At 62.5% G+C, this 20149-nt stretch overlaps 1 protein-coding gene across 11 annotated transcripts in view; it reads right to left on the reverse strand.

Moving 5' to 3' along the window:
• The window catches only part of GALNS (galactosamine (N-acetyl)-6-sulfatase), a 43214-nt gene that overhangs the window by 7537 nt on the left and 15528 nt on the right, over nt 1–20149 (reverse strand). For 10 of the 11 annotated variants that reach the window (NM_001323543.2, XM_017023113.2, XM_047433891.1 and 7 more), the window contains 9 exons: nt 19722–19824; nt 16352–16495; nt 14931–14997; nt 14455–14579; nt 13943–14082; nt 10728–10831; nt 5432–5568; nt 3497–3599; nt 1319–1440 (listed from right to left, as the gene is read on the reverse strand). In NM_001323543.2, coding sequence (NP_001310472.1) covers nt 1319–1440; nt 3497–3599; nt 5432–5568; nt 10728–10831; nt 13943–14082; nt 14455–14579; nt 14931–14997; nt 16352–16362 — 809 coding nt within the window. In that variant the 5' untranslated portion in view covers nt 16363–16495; nt 19722–19824. Of the gene's footprint in view, nt 1–1318; nt 1441–3496; nt 3600–5431; nt 5569–10727; nt 10832–13942; nt 14083–14454; nt 14580–14930; nt 14998–16351; nt 16496–17342; nt 19578–19721; nt 19825–20149 lie in introns of those variants that run through there. The other variant, XM_047433892.1, reaches the window with a different exon arrangement.

Here is a 20149-nt window from a genome sequence, read left to right on the forward strand (position 1 = left end):
AGCCGAGGCTGGTGGCGCTCTGTCCAGTCCCCGTCTCGTCCCGTGGCCTTCACCATGTCTGTGTCTCCTCCCTCTGGACTCAGGGCATTTGGCCTTGGACCCAGCGCCACCCGTGCCTTAATCACAAGGCACAGGCCCTACTTCCCTTCAGGCCAAGCTGGGAGGTGTGGGTGGACCTGGGCCTGGGGACACTGCTGTCCACTCCAGGCTCCATGCTGCCTTCCCGCAGTCACCATCCTGGGCTTCTGAGCTGGACGCTCGGTGGAGGAGAGGTGCTGCCGAGGAAGTGCCCAAGGGATCCCTGAGGGGCTGCAGCCCAGGAGCCTCACCGCAGGCTCAGCCCCGTGGGAAGGCGGCTGCCCCGTCCAGAGGGTGCAGGAGCCTCAGGGCACCTTGGCGGTGGTGCTGCCACCCTCGGTCCTGTACTGCTCTCTGCTGCCTCCCACCGGCCCTACTCAAACCCAGGCCCATCGGGGAGCATAGAAAGCCTGGGCAGGGAGCAACCGCTGTGCTCAGGCCTGGTTCTGCCTCTGCACGCCACTCCCCTGATGCTCCTGGGTCTTCCCAGGACCAACTCGATAGGGCAGGAATGCTGGAGACCACTAGGCATGCACGTGCCCCAGGACCCCCAGGCCAGGAGCAGGAATTGGGGACCTGCTCATCCTGCTGGGGTGAGGGGGGGAAGCCTCCAGGTAGCCCTAGCCCAGGGAGATGGGTTCGGACAAAAAAAAAGGAAGCCAGGGCGGGGTCTCCAGCCAAGTGTTGGGGCCTCTGTGTCGCCCCTAAGGAGCTGCCAGCAGGTGAGTCTGGTACTGGCGACCATGACCCTCAAGACTCCTGAGGGTAAGGGGAGGGCTTCCCTGAAAACTGGCAGGTGATGGCGCAGACTCCGGCATCCTCGGTGGGGTGAGGACAAGGCCCAGAGAGCAGAGGGTGGAGCTGGGGCTGGTGGCTTTCTGCCATTCCTCCTGCTAGCTGACCTGTGTCCTTGTACCTCCTACTTGCCCCAGGGCCTGGACCCCTCCCCTCTGGCCTCAGCCATCCCCAAATGCAGCTCAGAGTAGGGGATACATCACTGGGGGCCAGGTGGATGGTGGCCCAGAAGGGGCAGAAGTGGGGAGACCACCAGGGTGGGCAGCAGCAGGCACCCTGGGAGGAGGGCAGGCCACCAAGCACGTGTGGGTATGAATAGCAACAGCAGATGCAGGCAAGGGGAGGCGGCGGGCAGGGTGCAGAGGGCTCTGTCCCTGTGGAGCCTGCATTTGGGGGAGTCCGGCTGGCACTGCCTCAGCAGCCAGGAGGCCCTGCACCGACTCACCTGAGGGGGAACCTCTCCCCTGGGTCCCGTCCCAGGTGGAAGATCAGGGGCAGCTTCGTGTGGTCTTCCAGATTGTGAGTTGTGACCCCTGAAACGTTCTGCCCAGGGCAGAAATCAATGCCCTGCAATGAGAAGAGGGAAGGTGTGTCCTGGAGCCCCTGACCTGCGGCCGTGAGGGGCCTCGTCTGCCCGTGTCCTGGAGCCCCTGACTGCGGCCGTGAGGGGCCTTGTCTGCCTGTGTCCTGGAGCCCCTAACTGGGGGCCGTGGGGGGGTCTCGTCTGCCTGTGCCTAGCAGCGTCCCTGGTACTCAGCATGGTGCAGGGCGCTGGCTAAACGCTGAAGGACTAGCGGGCCCATAAGCATCCTGTGGAGGAGGTGAAGCCACCCGCTCTGGGCCCGAGATGCGTAGCTGGCATGCCTCACGTACCCTGTTTTCATGTACCCCTCTTCTTTGCGAGGCAGGTGAGTGTATTTAAAACACCTTAGCCAGCCTCAGATCTGGACTGCCACTAATTTCATGGAGGAAAGCCCCTTTTAACAGCCTACTCTCTGCTGGGGAAGGGAGGGGAGGGAAAGGGACGGGAAGGGAGGCCCTGCCCTGGGAGAAGGGAGAGCCACAACGCTCAGAATCCCTACAGAAACCCTAAGACAGGGAGGAGCAGGACCAACATGTGAAAGGCAAGAGAAAACACAGAAAACAAAAACAGACCCAGGGAGCTGACACAGATTCACACACTCAAGAAGGGCAAGGATTTTACAGTAACCACAATTCTCTTTCTGCTGCCCCTGGGCCTCCTGATTCGGGAAAGGCGAGGTATGCCTCTAACATTCCCAGAGCGGGTGCTGCAGGCCAAGGGGCTCGTCCGAGGACTGTGCCCAGGACGGCCCTCGCAGGCGGCAATGCCGGGGACCGATGCCCAGGACGGCCCTCGCAGGCGGCAATGCCGGGGACCGATGCCCAGGACGGCCCTCGCAGGCGGCAATGCCGGGGACCGATGCCCAGGACGGCCCTCGCAGGCGGCAATGCCGGGGACCGATGCCCAGGACGGCCCTCGCAGGCGGCAATGCCGGGGACCGATGCCCAGGACGGCCCTCGCAGGCGGCAATGCCGGGGACCGATGCCCAGGACGGCCCTCGCAGGCGGCAATGCCCGGGGAACGATGCCCAGGACGGCCCTCGCAGGCGGCAATGCCCGGGGACCGATGCCCAGGACGGCCCTCGCAGGCGGCAATGCCGGGGACCGATGCCCAGGACGGCCCTCACAGGCGGCAATGCCGGGGACCGATGCCCAGGATGGCCCTTGCAGGTGACAGTGCTGGGTAAAACCCGAAAGAAGAGCGGGTGCGGGGCCTGCACAGGGTGGGGAGGAGCCAAAACACTCCTGGGCATCATTGCCCTCCAGACACTGCCCCACGAGCAGCTTCCCTCCTCAGCCTGGGTGCTCAGCCCTCAGCCCCAGTTCTCACTTCCAGTCTTTAGACTCTCCATTACACTAAATGATTTTCTTCCCAATTAAGGCAGATTAGCAGGGGGTTCATATCTCAAGACTTTGATGCTGGGAGTGGGTGGGGCTGAGAGAGACCTCTCAGGAGGGGCTGGGGGATGCTGGAGCGTAGGGGTCAGCAGGGGCCAGAAAAGACCGTGGGGAGGGAGCAGGAGGCTTGAGGCGAGGGCTCGTGGGAGAAAGCCTGGCGCTGACAATGCTGGGGTAGCCTGGGGCGGCAGGAGCCCCAGGCCCTGTGCGTGTGGCGTTTCACCCTCCCACACTGGGGGTTGCTGTGGTGATGCCAATGCTGCGGCCCCCATGTAGCACCTGGGCCAAGCAGGCCACGTCTCTGTCGCCTCCAGCCTGGGGTGTGGGGGAGGCTCAGATGCCCTGGCAGGATGGAGAGGCCCATGGGGGCCACCTGACCAGGGTCTAGGCCACGCCTGTAGCTATGCCGCGGGGCTACTGTCATCACGCGGGGCAGGAAGAGGTCCCTCCCTCCTCTCCAGCCTGTCAGCTGCCATGCCCTAGGCCACGCTGAACGACTGGGGGCCACACAGAGAAGGCTGTGGAGGGGGTGGAGTTCCTGCCTGTCTCACCCTCCTGTGCCTCCCCCAGGACGGTGCTCAGGGGCCACGTCTGGATAGAGATGGGGGCAGCTCCGCCTGCGCCCACGTCCCGAGCCCTGTACCTGTCTGAAGTTCTCCCAGGAGTTGGTCCAGGTCCAGAAGTGAGCCTTGTGCTGCCCGAGGGTGGCCGCCATCAGCGTGTCGCCACGGTAATAGAAGATAGGCCTGTGGGATGGGAGGGGAGGACCATGTAATGACAGGAAGGACACGCTGGGGCCACCTGGAGGCTCTGGGCTGCGTCTGTCATCAGTGGCTCATGCCTCCACGTGAGGTCTTGGTTGATACTTTACAAAGATGATTGAAAAGTAAAAAGGCCCGCAAGGTGGCTGGGGCTGGGGTGCCTGGGCGGCCGGGGCTGGAGCTCCTGGGTGGCCAGGGCTGGGGTGACTGGGTATCTGGGGCGCCTGGGTGTCTGGGGCTGGGGTGTCTGGGCGGCCGGGGCTGGGGTGACTGGGTGTTTGGGCGGCCGGGGCTGGGGTGACTGGGTGTCTAGGGTGCCTGGGTGTCTGGGGCGCCTGGGTGTCTGGGGCTGGGGTGTCTGGGTGGCCAGGGCTGGGGTGCCTGGGTGTTTGGGCAGCCGGGGCTGGGGTGCCTGGGTGGCCGGGGCGACTGGGTATCTGGGGTGCCTGGGTGTCTGGGGCTGGGGTGTCTGGGCAACCGGGGCTGGGGTGGCTGGGTGTCTGGGTGGCCGGGGCTGGGGTGACTGGGTGTCTGGGGTGCCTGGGTGTCTAGGGCTGGAGTGCCTGGGCGGCCAGGGCTGGGGTACCTGGGTGTCTGGGCGGCCGGGGCTGGGGTGCCTGGATGTCTGGGGCTGGGGTTTCTGGGCAGCCGGGGCTGGGGTGCCTGGGTGTCCGGGACTGGGATTCCTGGGCAGCTGGGGCTGGGGTGCCTGGGTGTCTGGGGTGCCTGGGCGGCCGGGGCTAGGGTGCCTGGGCGTCCCCTCATTGCTGGTCCTTGGCAAGGCTGGGCCAGACCCTGGGGAGGGTGGGCAGACAAGAGGATAAGCAGGCGGCACGGGGTCTCCTGACCATGTTGGGCCTGCGAGTCAGGAACGGGGAGTGGGGGACGCAGCTGGGCACCGTCTCTCCCCACAGTGACCAACCACTTGTGCCAGGTCTCGAGAGGGGACAAGTGAGCAAAACTCCCTCTACCCGGCCCCAGATAGCCGGAGGCGGCAGCTGCCTTGGGCCGTCCCCACCTTGCTTCCCGTTGAGCCTTTGGAATCCTCATCCCTTCAGGACCACCCAGGAAACGTGGTTTGAGTGGAATGGTGGCTGCTCTCAGGGGGTAGGAAATGGACTTTGGACACTAAGGATTTGGACAGAAGGTAAGAGCTGGGCCATGGACTTGGCAGAGCAGCGACTTGGATGGAAGGAAGAAGGAAGCTACAGGAAGCCATGAGGCACCAAAAACCAGGCTGGGCAGGGAACAGGGGTGGGGCAGACAGGGGCAGCGTGTGCCCGGGCTACAGACAGGGAACAGGGGTGGGGCGGGCAGGGGCGGCGTGTGCCCAGGTACAGGCAGGCAACAGGGGTGGGGCAGGCAGGGGTGGCATGTGCCCGGGCTGCAGGCAGGGAACAGGGGTGGGGCGGACAGGGGCGGCGTGTGTCTGGGTACAGGCAGGGAACAGGGGTGCGGCGGACAGGGGTGGCGTGTGTCTGGGTACAGGCAGGGAACAGGGGTGGGGCGGGCAGGGGCGGCATGTGCCCGGGTACAGGCAGGGATGAGGCCCCTCTCCTGGCCTTGCCCTCCCTCCTAAGGCTTTCTTGAAAGCCAGGGCCTCGCTGTGCTTGGACCCTCCCAGGATGGCCCCTGCCCCACAGGCAGGTCCCCAGGTCCTCTCGTCTCAGGCACCCCTGCCTCCTCCTGCCCTGGGCACGAGCACGCCTGTGTCCAGAACCAGGAGGGCTGCTGGGCCTGGGGGTTGCACCTGATTAGCAGCTCTGGGCTTCACTACTTGGATCGGGGGAAGGGGCCGGGGCAGGTCTAGCACCAACCTGTCCATCAGCCGGCCCTGCAGGAGGGTGGGGAGGAGGTTGAGGCCATCAATGGCCCTGTCGCTGGGCGGCGTCAGGCCCGCAAGGGCCAGGCTGGTGGTGAAGAGGTCCATGATGCTGCCCAGCTGGTGGCTCACCTGAAACACATGGCAGCAACACGGTCAGGGCACTCTGCACCGACCCGATGGGGCTGGGGGCCAATCCCTGGGGGGGCGTGAGCCCCGCTGCCCAGCTGGGTCTACAGATATGCATACATGCTCACACGCCCACAGCAGGGACTGAGCGGGGTCACAAGGCCTGTGAGAGACAGAGGAGCCTCAAACCAGGCCCAAAGACCCCAGAGCCAGGCCACGCCCTCACTCCCTGGCACCCTTCTCTGCCTCTGTGGATCAGATGAAAGGAGAATCACAGCCCTCCCAGGGAGATGCCCCTCCAGGCCCACCTGTCCGGAGAGGATCAGCCTCGCTCTAACACTGAATGCCCTAAGGCCACTGTGAGCCCTGCCCCTTAAGTCAGAGGAGCAGGTGGAGAAAAACCAGATGTGGAGGGGCAGCTGAGGCTGGACAGGAGCAGCTCCGAGTGGCTGGGGTGGGGACGGCTCCTGACACACCCAGAGAGCTCCAGGACAGGCAGGAGGCTGTCTTTCCCGCCGTGCCTTGACCTCCGGAGGGCGTGGGCACTGCTGACCAGCCATGAGCAGAGCGTGCCATCTGGCTTCCCTCAGTGGCCCTGTCTGCTTCTTGTTTTTTGTTTTTGTTTTTTGAGATGGAGTTTTGTTCTTGTCACCCAGGCTGGAGTGCAGTGGTGCGATCTCAGCTCACCACAACCTCTGCCTTCCAGGTTCAAGTGATTCTCCTGACTCAGTCTCCCGAGAAGCTGGGATTACAGGTATGTGTCACTACGCCCGGCTAATTTTGTACTTTTAGTAGAGACGGGGTTTCTCCATGTTGGTCAGGCTGGTCTCGAACTCCCAACCTCAGGTGATCTGCCCGCCTCAGCCTCCCAAAGTGCTGGGATTACAGGCATGAGCCCGGCGGCCCTGTCTCTTTCTTAACTCGGGGGCTCCAGGCTTGGGTCACTCGACGGGGAGACTGGGGTGGGGCTGGAGAGACACCCCTGCCTGGCAAGCTCAGCCCCTGGGGCAGCTGGGCAGGGACCGCCATCCGCTGCCAGGCCCTGGAGCTCCCACCCAGTGTCGACAGCCCTCCCCACGGTCCAGGGGCACCCTCGCCGCCTGCAGCCAGCTCCTCGCTAGGGCAGACGGCGATCGCCAGCTTCTCCAACAGAGGAGCCCTGGCCTCACAGGGACACTCACTCCGCGCTGCAGCCGCTCACGGGATGTGGGGTCTGCAGCGCCCAGTGTGGGGCAGGGAATGCAAAGCTCAGCGTTTGCCAGGAAAGTTCAGGAAGCTTTGCAGAAGGTGAGAAGCTTCCCCAGGTCTGGTCAGCAGTGTCTGTGCGACTGCTTCCCGTCCTTCCCGTGTCCTTTAAAGGACAGAATAATAAAGGAAAGAAATCCAGATGCTTTTGTCATCTGAAAAAATAACTGCGGAGCAGTGCTTGTGGTGCCGGCAGGGCGGGCGGGCGGGAGTGGTGTCAGCACAGGCAGGGTCCTCGTGGAGCGTTTTCGAAGAACTCTCCAGGCAGCGATGCCTTCCAGAAACATCCAGAAATGCAGTGGGCAGCTGCGGCTGTGGGAGAAGTCACTGAAACCGTTATCAGCGCTTTCGAGACTTCACTCAGAATCCAGGGCTGCAGGGACTAAAGCCTCCCCTGCCCAGAGGGAACTGTCGGGACAGACGTCAGGCGCTTTCACTGAAACCCCGTCGTGGTGTCCTGGTGCACAGGCCTGATGCCATCGAATTCAATTTCACTTTGTGGCCCACGGGAAAAGGCAACTTGGTGGCTCTGGGAAGAGGGTTTCCCTTCCTCAGGTGGGGAGAGGGTTTCCCTTCTTCAGGGAGCGAGGCAGATGGCAAGGTTCCAAAACGCTGAAATTGGCATTTTTCTCAGCTGGAGCCTTTCCGTGGGCAGGTGGGTGGGGAGGTCTGTGGGGTACAGACGTCCCTGAACCCACTACGCATGGAGCCGGGCGGCGCTGGGGTGGCTCCCCTCACCTTTTCCAGGCTGCTGCTGAGCACAGCCACGGGTGGCTCCCAGCCTGGGGAGCAGAGCCCCAGCCCTGTCCCGGCCTGGTGGGCACCCACTGCAGTGGGGAACCTCACATCTCCCAGACCTACGCAGGTCCCGAGTCTCATGCCATCGTCTCCCAGACCTACGCGGGTCCCGGGTCTCACGCCATCGTCTCCCAGACCTACGCGGGTCCCGAGTCTCACGCCAACGTCTCCCAGAGCTACACGGGTCCCGAGTCTCATGCCAACGTCTCCCAGAGCTACACAGTTCCTGAGTCTCATGCCAACGTCTCCCAGAGCTACGCGGGTCCCGAGTCTCATGCCAACGTCTCCCAGAGCTACACAGTTCCTGAGTCTCATGCCAACGTCACAGTGTTCACTGAGTGACCACCGGCCACTCCCTGCAGGTGCCCCCACACAAGAAACCAAATGGCCCATCCCTACCCTCAGGGGGATGGCGCTCAGGGGAGTGGAGGGGGCGGCACAGCTGCATTCTGTCCTAGGGGCACCCCACACCACAAAGGAGGCCGTGCCCACCACCCATGCTTCTCCTGCACAACAAGGCGGTCACTCTCACAGCCACTCTGCCCTTCACACGGAGCCGCAGCTGCCTTTTCAGTGAACCGTGGGGTCTCTTCCACCTTCAGGGTCCTGGGAACTTGGGGTGGCCCAGGAGTCCCATGTCAGACAAAGGCTGCCCTGGGCAGGGTCTGAGGGAGGCCCAGACAGCTGTAGAGAACAGGCGCCCTTGGCAGTTGCCGCCCCCAGTCCCACTGGCTGCTGGGGACACAGGGGACTGCCCAGGCATGGTGGGCAGGAGTGCAGGATCCACAGCCAGGCGCCTGCTCCCACCTCTGCTCCCTAGTAATTGGGGGACCCTGACAGACGACTTCCTCTCTGGCCTCAGTTTCCTGATGTGTAGAATGAGTGGGGAAGAGGAGGATCTGGCAGAACAGCAGCCAATCCCTGGGCCTTCAGGCGCGCGACCAGGCCAGGCAATTGAGGCGGCAGACACAACGCAGGCCGCTCATCAGCGAGGCTCGAAACAGGGAGGCCAGCCTGGGTGAGCAGGGGGTGGGGTGGGACACAGCCACAGGGTCCTCAAAAGTGGAACAGGCGCCGGGCGCGGTGGCTCACGCCTGTAATCCCAACACTTTCGGAGGCCGAGGCGGGCAGATCACGAGGTCAGGAGATTGAGACCATACTGGCCAACATAGTGAAACTCCGTCTCTACTAAAAATACAAAAATTAGCCGGGCATGGTAGAGCATGCCTGTAGTCCCAGCTACTCGGGAGGCTGAGGCAGGAGAATCGCTTGAATCTGGGAGGTAGAAGTTGCAGTGAGCCGAGATTGCACTACTGCACTCCAGCCTGGGCAACAGAGTGAGACTTCATCTCAAAAAAAAAAAAAAAAAAAAAAAAAACGTGGAACAGGAAGGCCAGGGACAGATGCCTGCGTGCTGCTGGCTTTGACGGTGGAGGGGCCAGGAGCTCAGGAATGGGGCAGCTACTAGGATTGGGAAAAGGCAGGGAACAGAACATCTCCTGGAGCCTCCAGAAGGAGCTGGCCCCACGCACGTCTTCACTCAGCCCCATGAGCCCCATGTTGACTCTGGCTGTCGTCATGTGTGATGTTCCAGCTGCCACTGGGAGCCCCCCCCATCCTCGTGGGGCCACTTGAAGGGGATGGCTGCCTCTGGAGGCCATTGGGAGGGCAAAAGACTAAGAAACAGTGAAGAAACAGCGGTCGTTTACAAACACCAGACTCAGCCCCGCGTGTTGATGGGTATGTCTGGCTCAAGTGCCTGTTACAGAAGACCACACGGTGTGATTCTCAACCGAGGGGCAGCTTCCTGGGCCAGAGGAGATGCAGTGACAGCATGAAGGTGGTCACACTGAGATGGCAGGGCGCACCCTCGCCCAGCCAGGACCCAGGCCACCACCGAGGTCCGCACCCCATGCGGCAGACAGACACCAACGGTCTCGTGTCGGGCTGCTGCTGTTCTCTGAGTGTCCTTAGGACACTGGCCTGAGAAGATGTGCTTTGGGGGAAAAAACGACCGATTCTGTAGTAGACAGACAGGTTTTTAAACACTCAGCCTGCTCTAAGCCCCTTCTAGAAGCTCATGGTGCCCACCAGCATGCTAAAGGCACTGATAAGTCCTGCAGGGAAGAAACCTGTTTAGCTCCATTTAACTCAGGACTGCTGCGGTGACTGGACCACGGATGTCTCCTCACCACACAGTCATTACCAGCACCCACGTGACACACGGCAGTATACGTGGCTCCAGTCCCCACCGAGAGCCTTCCTGCCTGTCTGACCAAGCACAGCAAGCCCTACACACCGAGAGCCACCGAGAGGGACCTGGTTCCGAGGAGAGCGGTGAGGCCGAGCACGGGGTGCGTGGGGAGGAGAGCGGTGAGGCCGAGCACGGGGTGCGTGGGGAGGAGAGCGGTGAGGCCGAGCACGGGGTGCGTGGGGAGGAGAGCGGTGAGGCCGAGCACGGGGAGCGTGGGGAGGAGAGCGGTGAGGCCGAGCACGGGGTGCGTGGGGAGGAGAGCGGTGAGGCCGAGCACGGGGTGCGTGGGGAGGAGAGCGGTGAGGCCGAGCACGGGGTGCGTGGGGAGGAGAGCGGTGAGGCCGAGCACGGGGTGCGTGGGGAGGAGAGCGGTGAGGCCGAGCACGGGGTGCGTGGGGAGGAGAGCGGTGAGGCCGAGCACGGGGTGCGTGGGGAGGAGAGCGGTGAGGCCGAGCACGGGGTGCGTGGGGAGGAGAGCGGTGAGGCCGAGCACGGGGAGCGTGGGGAGGAGAGCGGTGAGGCCGAGCACGGGGTGCGTGGGGAGGAGAGCGGTGAGGCCGAGCACGGGGTGCGTGGGGAGGAGAGCGGTGAGGCCGAGCACGGGGTGCGTGGGGAGGAGAGCGGTGAGGCCGAGCACGGGGTGCGTGGGGAGGAGAGCGGTGAGGCCGAGCACGGGGAGCGTGGGGAGGAGGGTGGTGAGGCTGAGCATGGGGTGCGTGGAGGCTGAGCACAGGGTGCGTGGGGAGGAGAGCGGTGAGGATGAGCACGGGGTGCATGGGGGAGGTGGCCAGTGAGGGGCGCACACACCCTGGGATGGCTGCAGGCCTGGACCTGCTGCCCGGCAGACCGGTGGACGCTGACTCACCTGGCCTGCAGTGACGTGCCCTGGCCACCATGCGAGGGCAGGCTCCCTCATCCCTCCTTCAAACGTGGTCTGCTTCCCACACAGAAAGGGGCCGTTGCTGCCACCTGGGAGAGAGGGGCCCTTGTCAGGCCACTGGGACCAGATGTCCCCAGGCCCTCCCCCTCCCTCCCCACTGAGTCACTGAGACTGGTCATAGGGACAAAGGGCCCGGCCAAGGCACTCTGGCTGGAGTGCATGATCCGAGCCTCGGGGTGGCTCTCCAGGGGCTCATCTGAGATGCCGCGGCTGCAAAGTCTCCTGGAGAAAGTGGGGACATCATGCCCACTGAGGAAATGGAAACACAACCATACGGTGTCAGCAAGACTCAGAGAGGTACACTCCCGCAGCAGAGGCCCTGGGTGCCACGTGCGCAGCTGCCGACTGGTGCTTCCCGAACGTGAATGTTCACAAGCCTCCCGGTGTTTGGGGTACTTAAAATGCAGCCAACTTCTGGCCTCCCCATGGTTCTGACTCAGTCAGTCACGGTGGGGCGTAGGAATCTGTGTTTCTGACAAGCCCCCAAGACCGGATTTTGGTTTCTGAACCATCACTTGTGGGAAGTGGTCACGGGGCAAAGGCCATCTCAGGTGACTACACCATCCCTGGCTCACTCCCAGACATGGAAGAAGGGGGTGGGGGGCCCACGTCAGGGACAAAAGCCACCCCTGCTGCTGTAGCCTGAGCCACTTGAGGCTCTCTCAGCTTCGGGTCCCCTGAATAAAAGGGAAAAAGGAAACGAAGGGGCCGGCTGCGGTGGCTCATACCTGTCATCCCAGTACCTTGGGAGGCCGAAGCAGGGGGACTGCTTGAACTCGGGAGTTCAAGACTAGCCTAGACTGGTTTCTACCAAAGAGAGACCACGGCTAAACCCCATCTCTACAAAAATACAAAAATTAGCTGGGTGTGGCGGCACGTCCTGTAGTCCCAGCTACTCAGGAGGCTGAGGTGGGAGGATTGCTGGAGCCCAGGAGGTCAAGGCTACAGTGAGCTGAGATCGCGCCACTGCACTCCAGCCTGGGCAACAGAGCGAGACTCCTTCTCAAAAAAAAAAAAAAAAAAAAAAAGAAAATATTTTTCCGGCAGTGAAAAAGTGAACCATCCAGGGGAGGCAAAGTCACCGCAGCTCCTTCCTGCGCTGCCATCCAACCCCGAGCGGCAGCGTGGGGAAGCCTCTGAACGGAACCTCGCAGGCAGCTCTGCTCAGAGCCCCTCACGGGCAAACACGCCAACACCCGCAACCCGGCCTGTCTCAGGGAGGGCCCTGCTCACAGCAGCAGAGCCACAGAACCTGTGAAGGGACAATGGACACTGAGCTGGGGACACTGGCCACTTCTAGGGGACACTCAGGCTCACAGGAGGCCATGCTGTGCTTCTTCTCCTTCCCTCCCTCCCTTTCTTTCCTTCTCTCTCCCATCCCCTTTTTTTTTTTTTTTGACATGGAGTCTCGCTCTGTCGCCCAGGCTGGAGTGCAGTGGTGCGATCTCGGCTCACTGCAAGCTCCGCCTCCCGGGTTCAAGTCATTCTCTTGACTTAGCCTGCCCAGCAGCTGGGACTACAGGTGCCCGCCACCACGCCTGGCTAATTTTTTGTTTTTCAGTAGAGATGGGGTTTCACCGTGTTAGCCAGGATGGTCTCGACCTCCTGACCTCGTGATCCACCCGCCTCAGCCTCCCAAAGTGCTGGGATTACAGGTGTGAGCCACCACGCCCAGCCCCCTCCCCTGCTTTCTTTCTCTGGGATGTTCTGTTTCTAGTCTTGTGCTGGGTGCTGGGTGTGTGGGTTCTCATCTTGTTACAAATAGGTACATATACCATTTGTTGGTATGAAACATGCCATTTGTTGGTATGAAACATTCCATCATTTAGAAATGAAGACTCAGGTCGCTGGGACCCTTGCCCCTGCTGGCTGGTGGTTGTGGGTGCTGGCGTCGAGGTGGGCCCCCCCGGGCTCCCCATGGGGAATGACGGCCAACACCACCCTCCCCCCACCCAGCACCCTGCCTCCTGGGAGCTGCCTGTAGCCCTCCACACATGGGTCTGTTGGGGGCCTCGACTCGTGGGTCTGACTCCAGTGGGCGGGAGATGGAGCTGTCCGGAGGGCCTGCACGAGAGCCAGGCTCACCCAGGGGAGCTATCTGGTGGGACGTGGCGCGAGGGAGCCTATGCTTCTGTTTTGGCTTTCAGCTGTGCTGGTTTCTATCACTTGAAACTCTGAAGCCCCCAATCCCCGCAGCACACTGGGCTGTAGGCGCCCCCCGACATGGTCTGGGACGAGGCTGTAGGGCTCTCCCCACCACGTGGTCTGGGAAGAGGCTGCAGGGCCCCCCCCCGCGTGGTCTGGGAAGAGGCTGCAGGGCCCCCCCGCGTGGTCTGGGAAGAGGCTGCAGGGCCCCCCTCAGCGTGGTCTGGGAAGAGGCTGTAGGGCCCCCCCCGTGTGGTCTGGGAAGAGGCTGCAGGGCCCCCCTCAGCGTGGTCTGGGAAGAGGCTGTAGGGCTCTCCCCACCGCGTGGTCTGGGAAGAGGCTGCAGGGCCCCCCTCAGCGTGGTCTGGGAAGAGGCTGTAGGGCCCCCCCCGTGTGGTCTGGGAAGAGGCTGCAGGGCCCCCCCCCGCGTGGTCTGGGAAGAGGCGGGTTCAGGTTTGTTGGCGCTGGGGATGGGTCAGGCATTCATCAGTGCCGAGCGGGGGAAAGGCTGAAGCTCCATCCCAGGAACCACTTGACAGGGCTGTGGTGGGGGCAGGAGTCCATCTTCATGGAGGCAGCCCGGCCCCTGGGTGACCAGGTCCAGGCCACACTCACAGGGCTGCTCGGGGTCTGGGGTGCCGGCCCCCACCTCAGCAGGGACACCCTGCTCCACCGGCCCTGCTGTTTCCATGCGGCCTCCAAAGCCTCCGGCCTCCGGGGTCACCCTTCGGGAGGCGTCAGCCTCTTCCAAGACAAACCCTCTCCCCTGTGTCACCTCCTCCCCACCCCCAAGTTCAAGGTCACTCCTGCTTCCAGGTTAGTCCTGGGCCAGAAGGGCCTTGCTCGAGGCTCGGTGACATCTGCTCCTCCCGCTGGACCCAGAGGGACCCTTCATGCTCTGCCCACCACAGACCCCGTGGGCACAGCCGGTCCAGGCACTCTTCGCTGACACGCTGGCTGTGGGGAAACCGTGAGAAGTGACAGCGAGCACTCACCTTGTTCGGGGGCGGAAATGAGGGCAGCGCCGTTGTCCGACGTGAAGAAGACGAAGGTGTTGTCCGCGACGTGCAGGTCTTGGAGGAGCTCCAGTATCTTCCCAATGCTGTCATCAATCTCCCGGACGGCGTCTCCATACCTGCAGGATGGTGACAAAAGGCATCTCCATACCTGGAGGATGGTGACAAATGGATCAGGCAGCCAACGGCATACTGTGATTCACGGAGTTCATTAAATCATAACTTCACAGACCACAGTGAAACTGGCCGGCCTCTTCCCAGAAGAGGAATGGCCTCAGTTCAAGTTCATGTGGCTTATGAAGGACAGAGCCAGCACCCCCACCACAGCCCTCCTCTGCTGATCCCAGGCCAGTGGACGGCTTCAAAGGGGTGGGGTTGCTCTGGCCTTTCCATAATTGGCCTAAATGCCACGGTACTGAGTGTCCCATCTCTGGAGTCAAGCACAGCTGGGGCCTCCAGCGAGGTCTATGCTCCATGGAGCCAGGACTCACCGCCCTCGCTGACTGGTGCCCAAGAAGGGTTTGGAGGCATAGACGGGTGCGTGCGTGGCGTCGACAGCCCAGTAGAGGAAAAAGGGGTGGTGCCGTGCCTGTCTCTTAATGAAGTCCAGGGCTTCCTATGGAGAGAGCCACACCGTCGTCCTCCAGCCTCAGGCCGACCTCCTCATGCCTCCCACGGTCCCCGTCCCCACACGTCCCACGGGGCGAGGTTGGTGCGGTCCCCGTCCCCACGCGTCCCACGGGGCAAGGTTGGTGCGGTCCCCGTCCCCACGCGTCCCACGGGGCGAGGATGGTGCGGTCCCCGTCCCCACGCGTCCCACGGGGCGAGGGTGATGAGGTCCCTGAACCCATGCCTCCCACGGGGTGAGGTTGATGCATTCCTGTCCCCACGCCTCCCACAGGATGAGGTTGGTGCGGTCCCCGTCCCCATGCGTCCCACAGGGCGAGGATGGTGCGGTCCCCATCACCTGCAGGTAGATCTGGGTGAGGTTGGCTTCCCCCGTCTTCAGATTAATAGGAAATTCTTCATAATATCTGAAAAGAACACAGATCCAGACAGACTTCAGAATTTAGGCCAAGAAAGTCCCGTTCTCCCTGATTTCACCAGCAAAGCCATGGGCTTCATTTAAAAGAAGGCTAGGGCTGGGCGTCATGGCTCATGCCTGTAATCCCAGCATTTTGGGAGGCTGAGGAAGGTGGATCATGAGGTCAGGAATTTGAGACCAGCCTGGGCAACATGGTGAAACTCTGTCTCTACTAAAAATACAAAAATTAGCTGGGCGTGGTGGCGCACGCCTGTAATCCCAGCTACTTGAGAGGCTGAGGCAGGAGAATTGCTTGAACCCAGGAGGCGGAGGTTGCAGTGAGCCGAGATCGCGCCACTGCAATCCACCCTGGGTGACAGAGCAAGATCCTGTCTCAAGAAAAAAAAAAAAAAGGAAGCCTGGAAATGAAATGTCCACTCAGGGAACAACCAAGCTGGACGCATCCCTCGCTCCCCCAGGGCACGGTCTTGCATCTGATGACCTGGCTGAGGCCGGTGCTGCAATAACCTGCCACATGGGAAGATGGGGGAATGGGGCTGAGGGCACGACACCAAGGTGAAGGCAGTGAGGCGGCTGTGGTCACTCGGCTGGGGCTGGGGAGCCGCCGCTCAGGCCATGGGGCTCGTTCTGAAGCAGCTACAGTGCTGGTTGTCCCAGCCTGTGACTAATGCCAACCACAGAACTGCACACTTCAAATGGGGGCTGCGTGGTGCGACTCCCACACCTCCACGGGGCTCTATCTAGAAAGAGGCAGCAAGCTGGTGCTGCTTCTGGTCACCGTCATGTAATGAATGAGCACTTCCGCCAAGAAGAGTCAAGTTAAGCAAAATAAAATTCACAAAAGATGAGGGTCCCGGACCCGGCACTGCCGTGTCAAGAGGTGCTGCCCCCACGCCCGGGCACCAGGACGGCTCTGTCTGGACAGCGGCTTTTGCTCCTGGTGTGGCTCCCAGTGGGGGTTTCATCCCACCTCCTGTCCTGCCCATGTCCCTGGATGTCTGGAGCACAGCCGGCCTCCCCACCCGTAGACCACATGGGCAGTACCCTGACAGCTAGGGCAGACCGTGTGGGCTCGCTCTGCTGGGGGCCTTCCTCTCTCAGGACAGCTACAGGGATCTACGACCCTGAAAAGGTGGGAAACCCCAGGCAGGAGTCTCATAGGCTCTGGGGCAAAACTTGGTGGGACAGAAGCCACCAAACCAAAGCCCTCGGTGCCCGGGGACCCAGGGACAGACCAGCCCTCATGAGTGGCGACTTGAGCCCACCAGTGCTAGAGGCGGGGGGCAGGCACGCCGGGCACAGCAGTTCAGGACGTGGGAGGGGAAGGGGTGGGGCTCCATTACCTGCCAACCATCTCCCAGTCCCTGTACACAGGGATGTTGGGCCTGGCCTTGTTGTCATAAGGTCCAAAGTGGCAGTTGGGGGATCCAAACCACTCATCAAATCCGTGCTTCAGGGGGTGGAACTGGGGCCTGTGACCCAGATGCCTGGAAACAGGAACCCAGGACACTTCAGGGACCCCACGTGGGGACACTCGGAAGTTCTGAGCAGCAACAGATACCACCTTCACAAAATTCTTGGTAAGACGAGCACCCTCCAGCACTGAGTATGGGCTATGCCTGGGCACGGCAGGGACAAAAGACCAAGGCCTCACCCGAGGAGGGTGCTGGCACTGCCCGCCTACCCTGCAGAGCGTCTGGGCACAACCGAGGGCGGCAGGCATGGCGGCGGCCGGGGTTCCCTGCACGGTGAAGGGTGGTGCATCGTGAGGAGCCTCCCAGCCGCCTGGAACCCGCCTGACATGCCCCTCGTGGCCCCGGCTCCTTCCTTCCACGTTTTCTGAACTCCCAGGAGAGTTTTGCGGGTCATGCCTCGAACCCAAGTGTGTCTCCTCTGGGTTTTCCAGGGCAGAAAATATTTCCTGCCAGGTAATTACTGGGTCTCTCCACACCGAGGCGCTCAGAGTCTCATCTCCCAGTTCAGGGCAATGGCCCCAGGATGACGACTGGGCGGGGCGTTGTGTGCCGTGCGGGAGCCCCGGGGCCTGCCAGCTGTACCCACATCCCCAGGACCCTGGCAGAGGCAGGGATTAGAGTGACGACAAGAGAACGTGACAGTGTGGCCACACTGGTGACCTCCACCAACCGCTCTCCTGGGACCGGGGTTCACCTGCTGGGAATGGCCATCGCCAGGCATCACACCCCAGGCCTGTGGGAACCCCTCCAGACCCCGTCCCGCACTCCCCTTCTGACAATCCCCCGCAGACCTTGTGCTCCCACCCTCTGGTGGCACCTAATCTCATCCTCCGGCCCACAGCAGCCCTGCAGGCCACACCTCTGTGCCCACTCGCCCTGGCCCCCAGGCCAGCTGTCCGGGTTTCCTTGCGCAGCCTGTCCTGTCCTGGAACGAATCCAGCTTGCGGCTGCTCTTCAGAACGGGCTGCAGGAGAGGTGGTATGAGATGGCTTCTAGGCACGGCCGTGGGCGGGTCTCACGTCAGTTGCGTGTCGTCTGAGGAAAGTTCTTCTGCAGCTACGGCTTTGAAAGCAGCATCCCCGACGCAGATTTCCCCGAGGCAGATTTCACCACAGCAGATTTCTGCTGCCTCCCTGGACATGGCCTCTGTACCCTGGACCTCCCGAGCTGCCTCTCCCCATCTCCTCTCTCAGGTAAGCACGCCTGGACCTCTCTGTGACCTCAGAGCTCCCTTGGCTGCCAACTCCGGGCTGTTTCCTTTGGGTCTTCAGCACTTGGGCCCATTGCTAGAGCACCCCGACATCCCTGAACACCCCAGGCAGGTCACCACCCAGCCACAGGGGACACTCGTGCGTCCACGTCCGCAGGTCACCGCCCAACCACAGGGGACACTCGTGCGCCCACGTCCGCTGGTCACCGCCCGGCCACAGGGGACACTCGTGCGCCCACGTCCACAGGTCACCGCCCGGCCACAGGGGACACTCGTGCGCCCACGTCCGCAGGTCACCGCCCGGCCACAGGGGACACTCGTGCGCCAACGTCCGCAGGTCACCGCCCGGCCACAGGGGACACTCGTGCTTCCACGTCCGCAGCACAAAGGCCTTGCTCAGGGGAAGCACATGGGCAGGACGCTACACAAATTAAGCTGTCAGCTCAACGTCCTTGTCCGAAAGCAGCAGTGGGGCCTGGCACTCACCAGCAGGTGACCTGGAGCAGGGAGTGTCCGCGGCCCTCTGGGACTCAAGTCCCTGCCCTGCACACCCGCGTGGCTTCATGCAGATCAAGCAGCCTCTTTTTGAGTCCAGGTGAGGGGCCTCAGGGAAGTCTGAGTCATGGCTGACAACACCCCTACTGCCCTGAGAGGGGACCCTGCTGGGATAGGGACCCCCCCACCTGACTGAGCAGCCGCTGTAGGACCCAGCCCGGGCCATCCAGCCACTGCACCATGTGCGGGAGGAGCCTGGGGCTCTGAGGTCTGCCTGGCTCCTGCTCCCACTCCTTGGGGTCCCCTCTCTCCCGTCGACAGCTGTTCAGGAGCCTCGAGGCCTCTATGGAGACCCACTCCCTGTCTAGCTCTGGCCACCGGCACCAATGACCATGCATAGGAGGCCGCTGGGCCCAAGACAGAGCTGCCAGGCCAGGCGGAGAGCTCTGGGTCACTGTGGGGCTTGTCACTTGGAGAGGCCACCGGCTCTTCCTCCTGTTGGCACAGTACTCACGCGCTCCAGTGGCCCTCGGGGGCTGACTTCCGCCATGGCCCCTGGCACTGGCTCAGGGACTATGCAGGCTGCGTGGGGCCCAACCTCCCTGTGTGAGGACTCTGCAGCTGCTGTGCCCATCAGCTCTGCCCTGTGCTTTCTGAGAGCTCAGCTCGGCAGGCTGCTTCCTCTCATCTGAAGAATGATGAAGTGCTCCCTAGACAGCCTCTGGGTCCTCCTCATCCAGTGATCAAGCTCAGCAAATTCCTGGCTGCCATGACCATCTACATCCAAGGAGCATCCATCTGAAGGGGACCGGCAGGAGCCACAGGCAGCCGACTGGGGATCACAGAGGCTGGGAAAGCAGCAAGGGCTTCCTGGAGGAGGCGGCATGCGGACCTGACAGGCGGGGAACGCTCCAACAAGTGGAGAGAAATTCGGGACAGGTGACTCCTACCCAACCCTCTAGGCTCACTCAGGCGTCCCAGGGAGTAAAAGAAATGAAACATCCTGTGCGCCTAAAACCGCAGCGTGGGGGCTGTGTAGCACCCAAGCTCTCATCAGCTCAGGATTTCATCAACTGCTAGGCTGTTACTCTCCTTCCTGGTGGCTTCTTTGTGGTTTAGACCAGAGCTTTCACCATCCAACAGGCCCCTAGGGTGGACAGGCAGCTCCTCCGCCACAGCTCCTGTGTGTAATGACGTGGCCCCTCCAAGGACGACGTGGCAGGAGGCAGCCGGGGGGCAGTGGTGGCGGGTGCTAGGGGCTGTGACTCGAGGGATGACGGTGACAGGCCTGCGGAGTCTGATGCCGCAGGATACTCGCGGCCGTGGGACCAGCCTGGTGACCTGAGATCCTGCTGGCAAGGTCACGCTGGCCTGCACAGGGACGCTGGAGACACCTGAACACACCCAGAATCAGCTGCCGTTTCCCACCCAAGACACCCTCCTCATTTGGAAACTTGTGGCCATGTCCCTTGGAACCAAGGCCAGGAAGTGGATGGAGCAGGACGCCTGGGCAGGCGTGGCCAGGAGACTTACCACTTGCCGACAATCTTGCTGACGTAGCCGGCCTTCTTCAGAAGCTCCGGCAGGAGCTGCTCCGAGTCTGGGATGCCGCCCACAATCTCCTGCGGTGTGTAGGCTGGAAGAGCAGCGCTGGGTGAGCCCCGAGGAGACCCCGAGAAGCTGCCACCAACCCCATCCTAACAGGACACTGGGGGCTGCGTCCACACATCCTAACAGGACACTGGCCCCTCGGGGTCAAAGGCTGTGCCTGGGGGCTGCGCGTCCACAGGGCATGGCACTTCCCAAGATTTTTCCAGGCACCCCTCAGAGCCAGTGCCATCACCAGAGGGTGGGGACGGGGCAGACTCCGTGCCCCCCAGCGCCTTCCTTGGGACTCCTGCCCACCCTCAGGCCCCACCCTGCCTCTCAGGCCAGCCTCCCACCTGCCTGGTCTCCAGGGG

Source organism: Homo sapiens, chromosome 16 (genome assembly GCF_000001405.40).
Source record: "Homo sapiens chromosome 16, GRCh38.p14 Primary Assembly".
Taxonomy (NCBI): domain Eukaryota; kingdom Metazoa; phylum Chordata; class Mammalia; order Primates; family Hominidae; genus Homo; species Homo sapiens.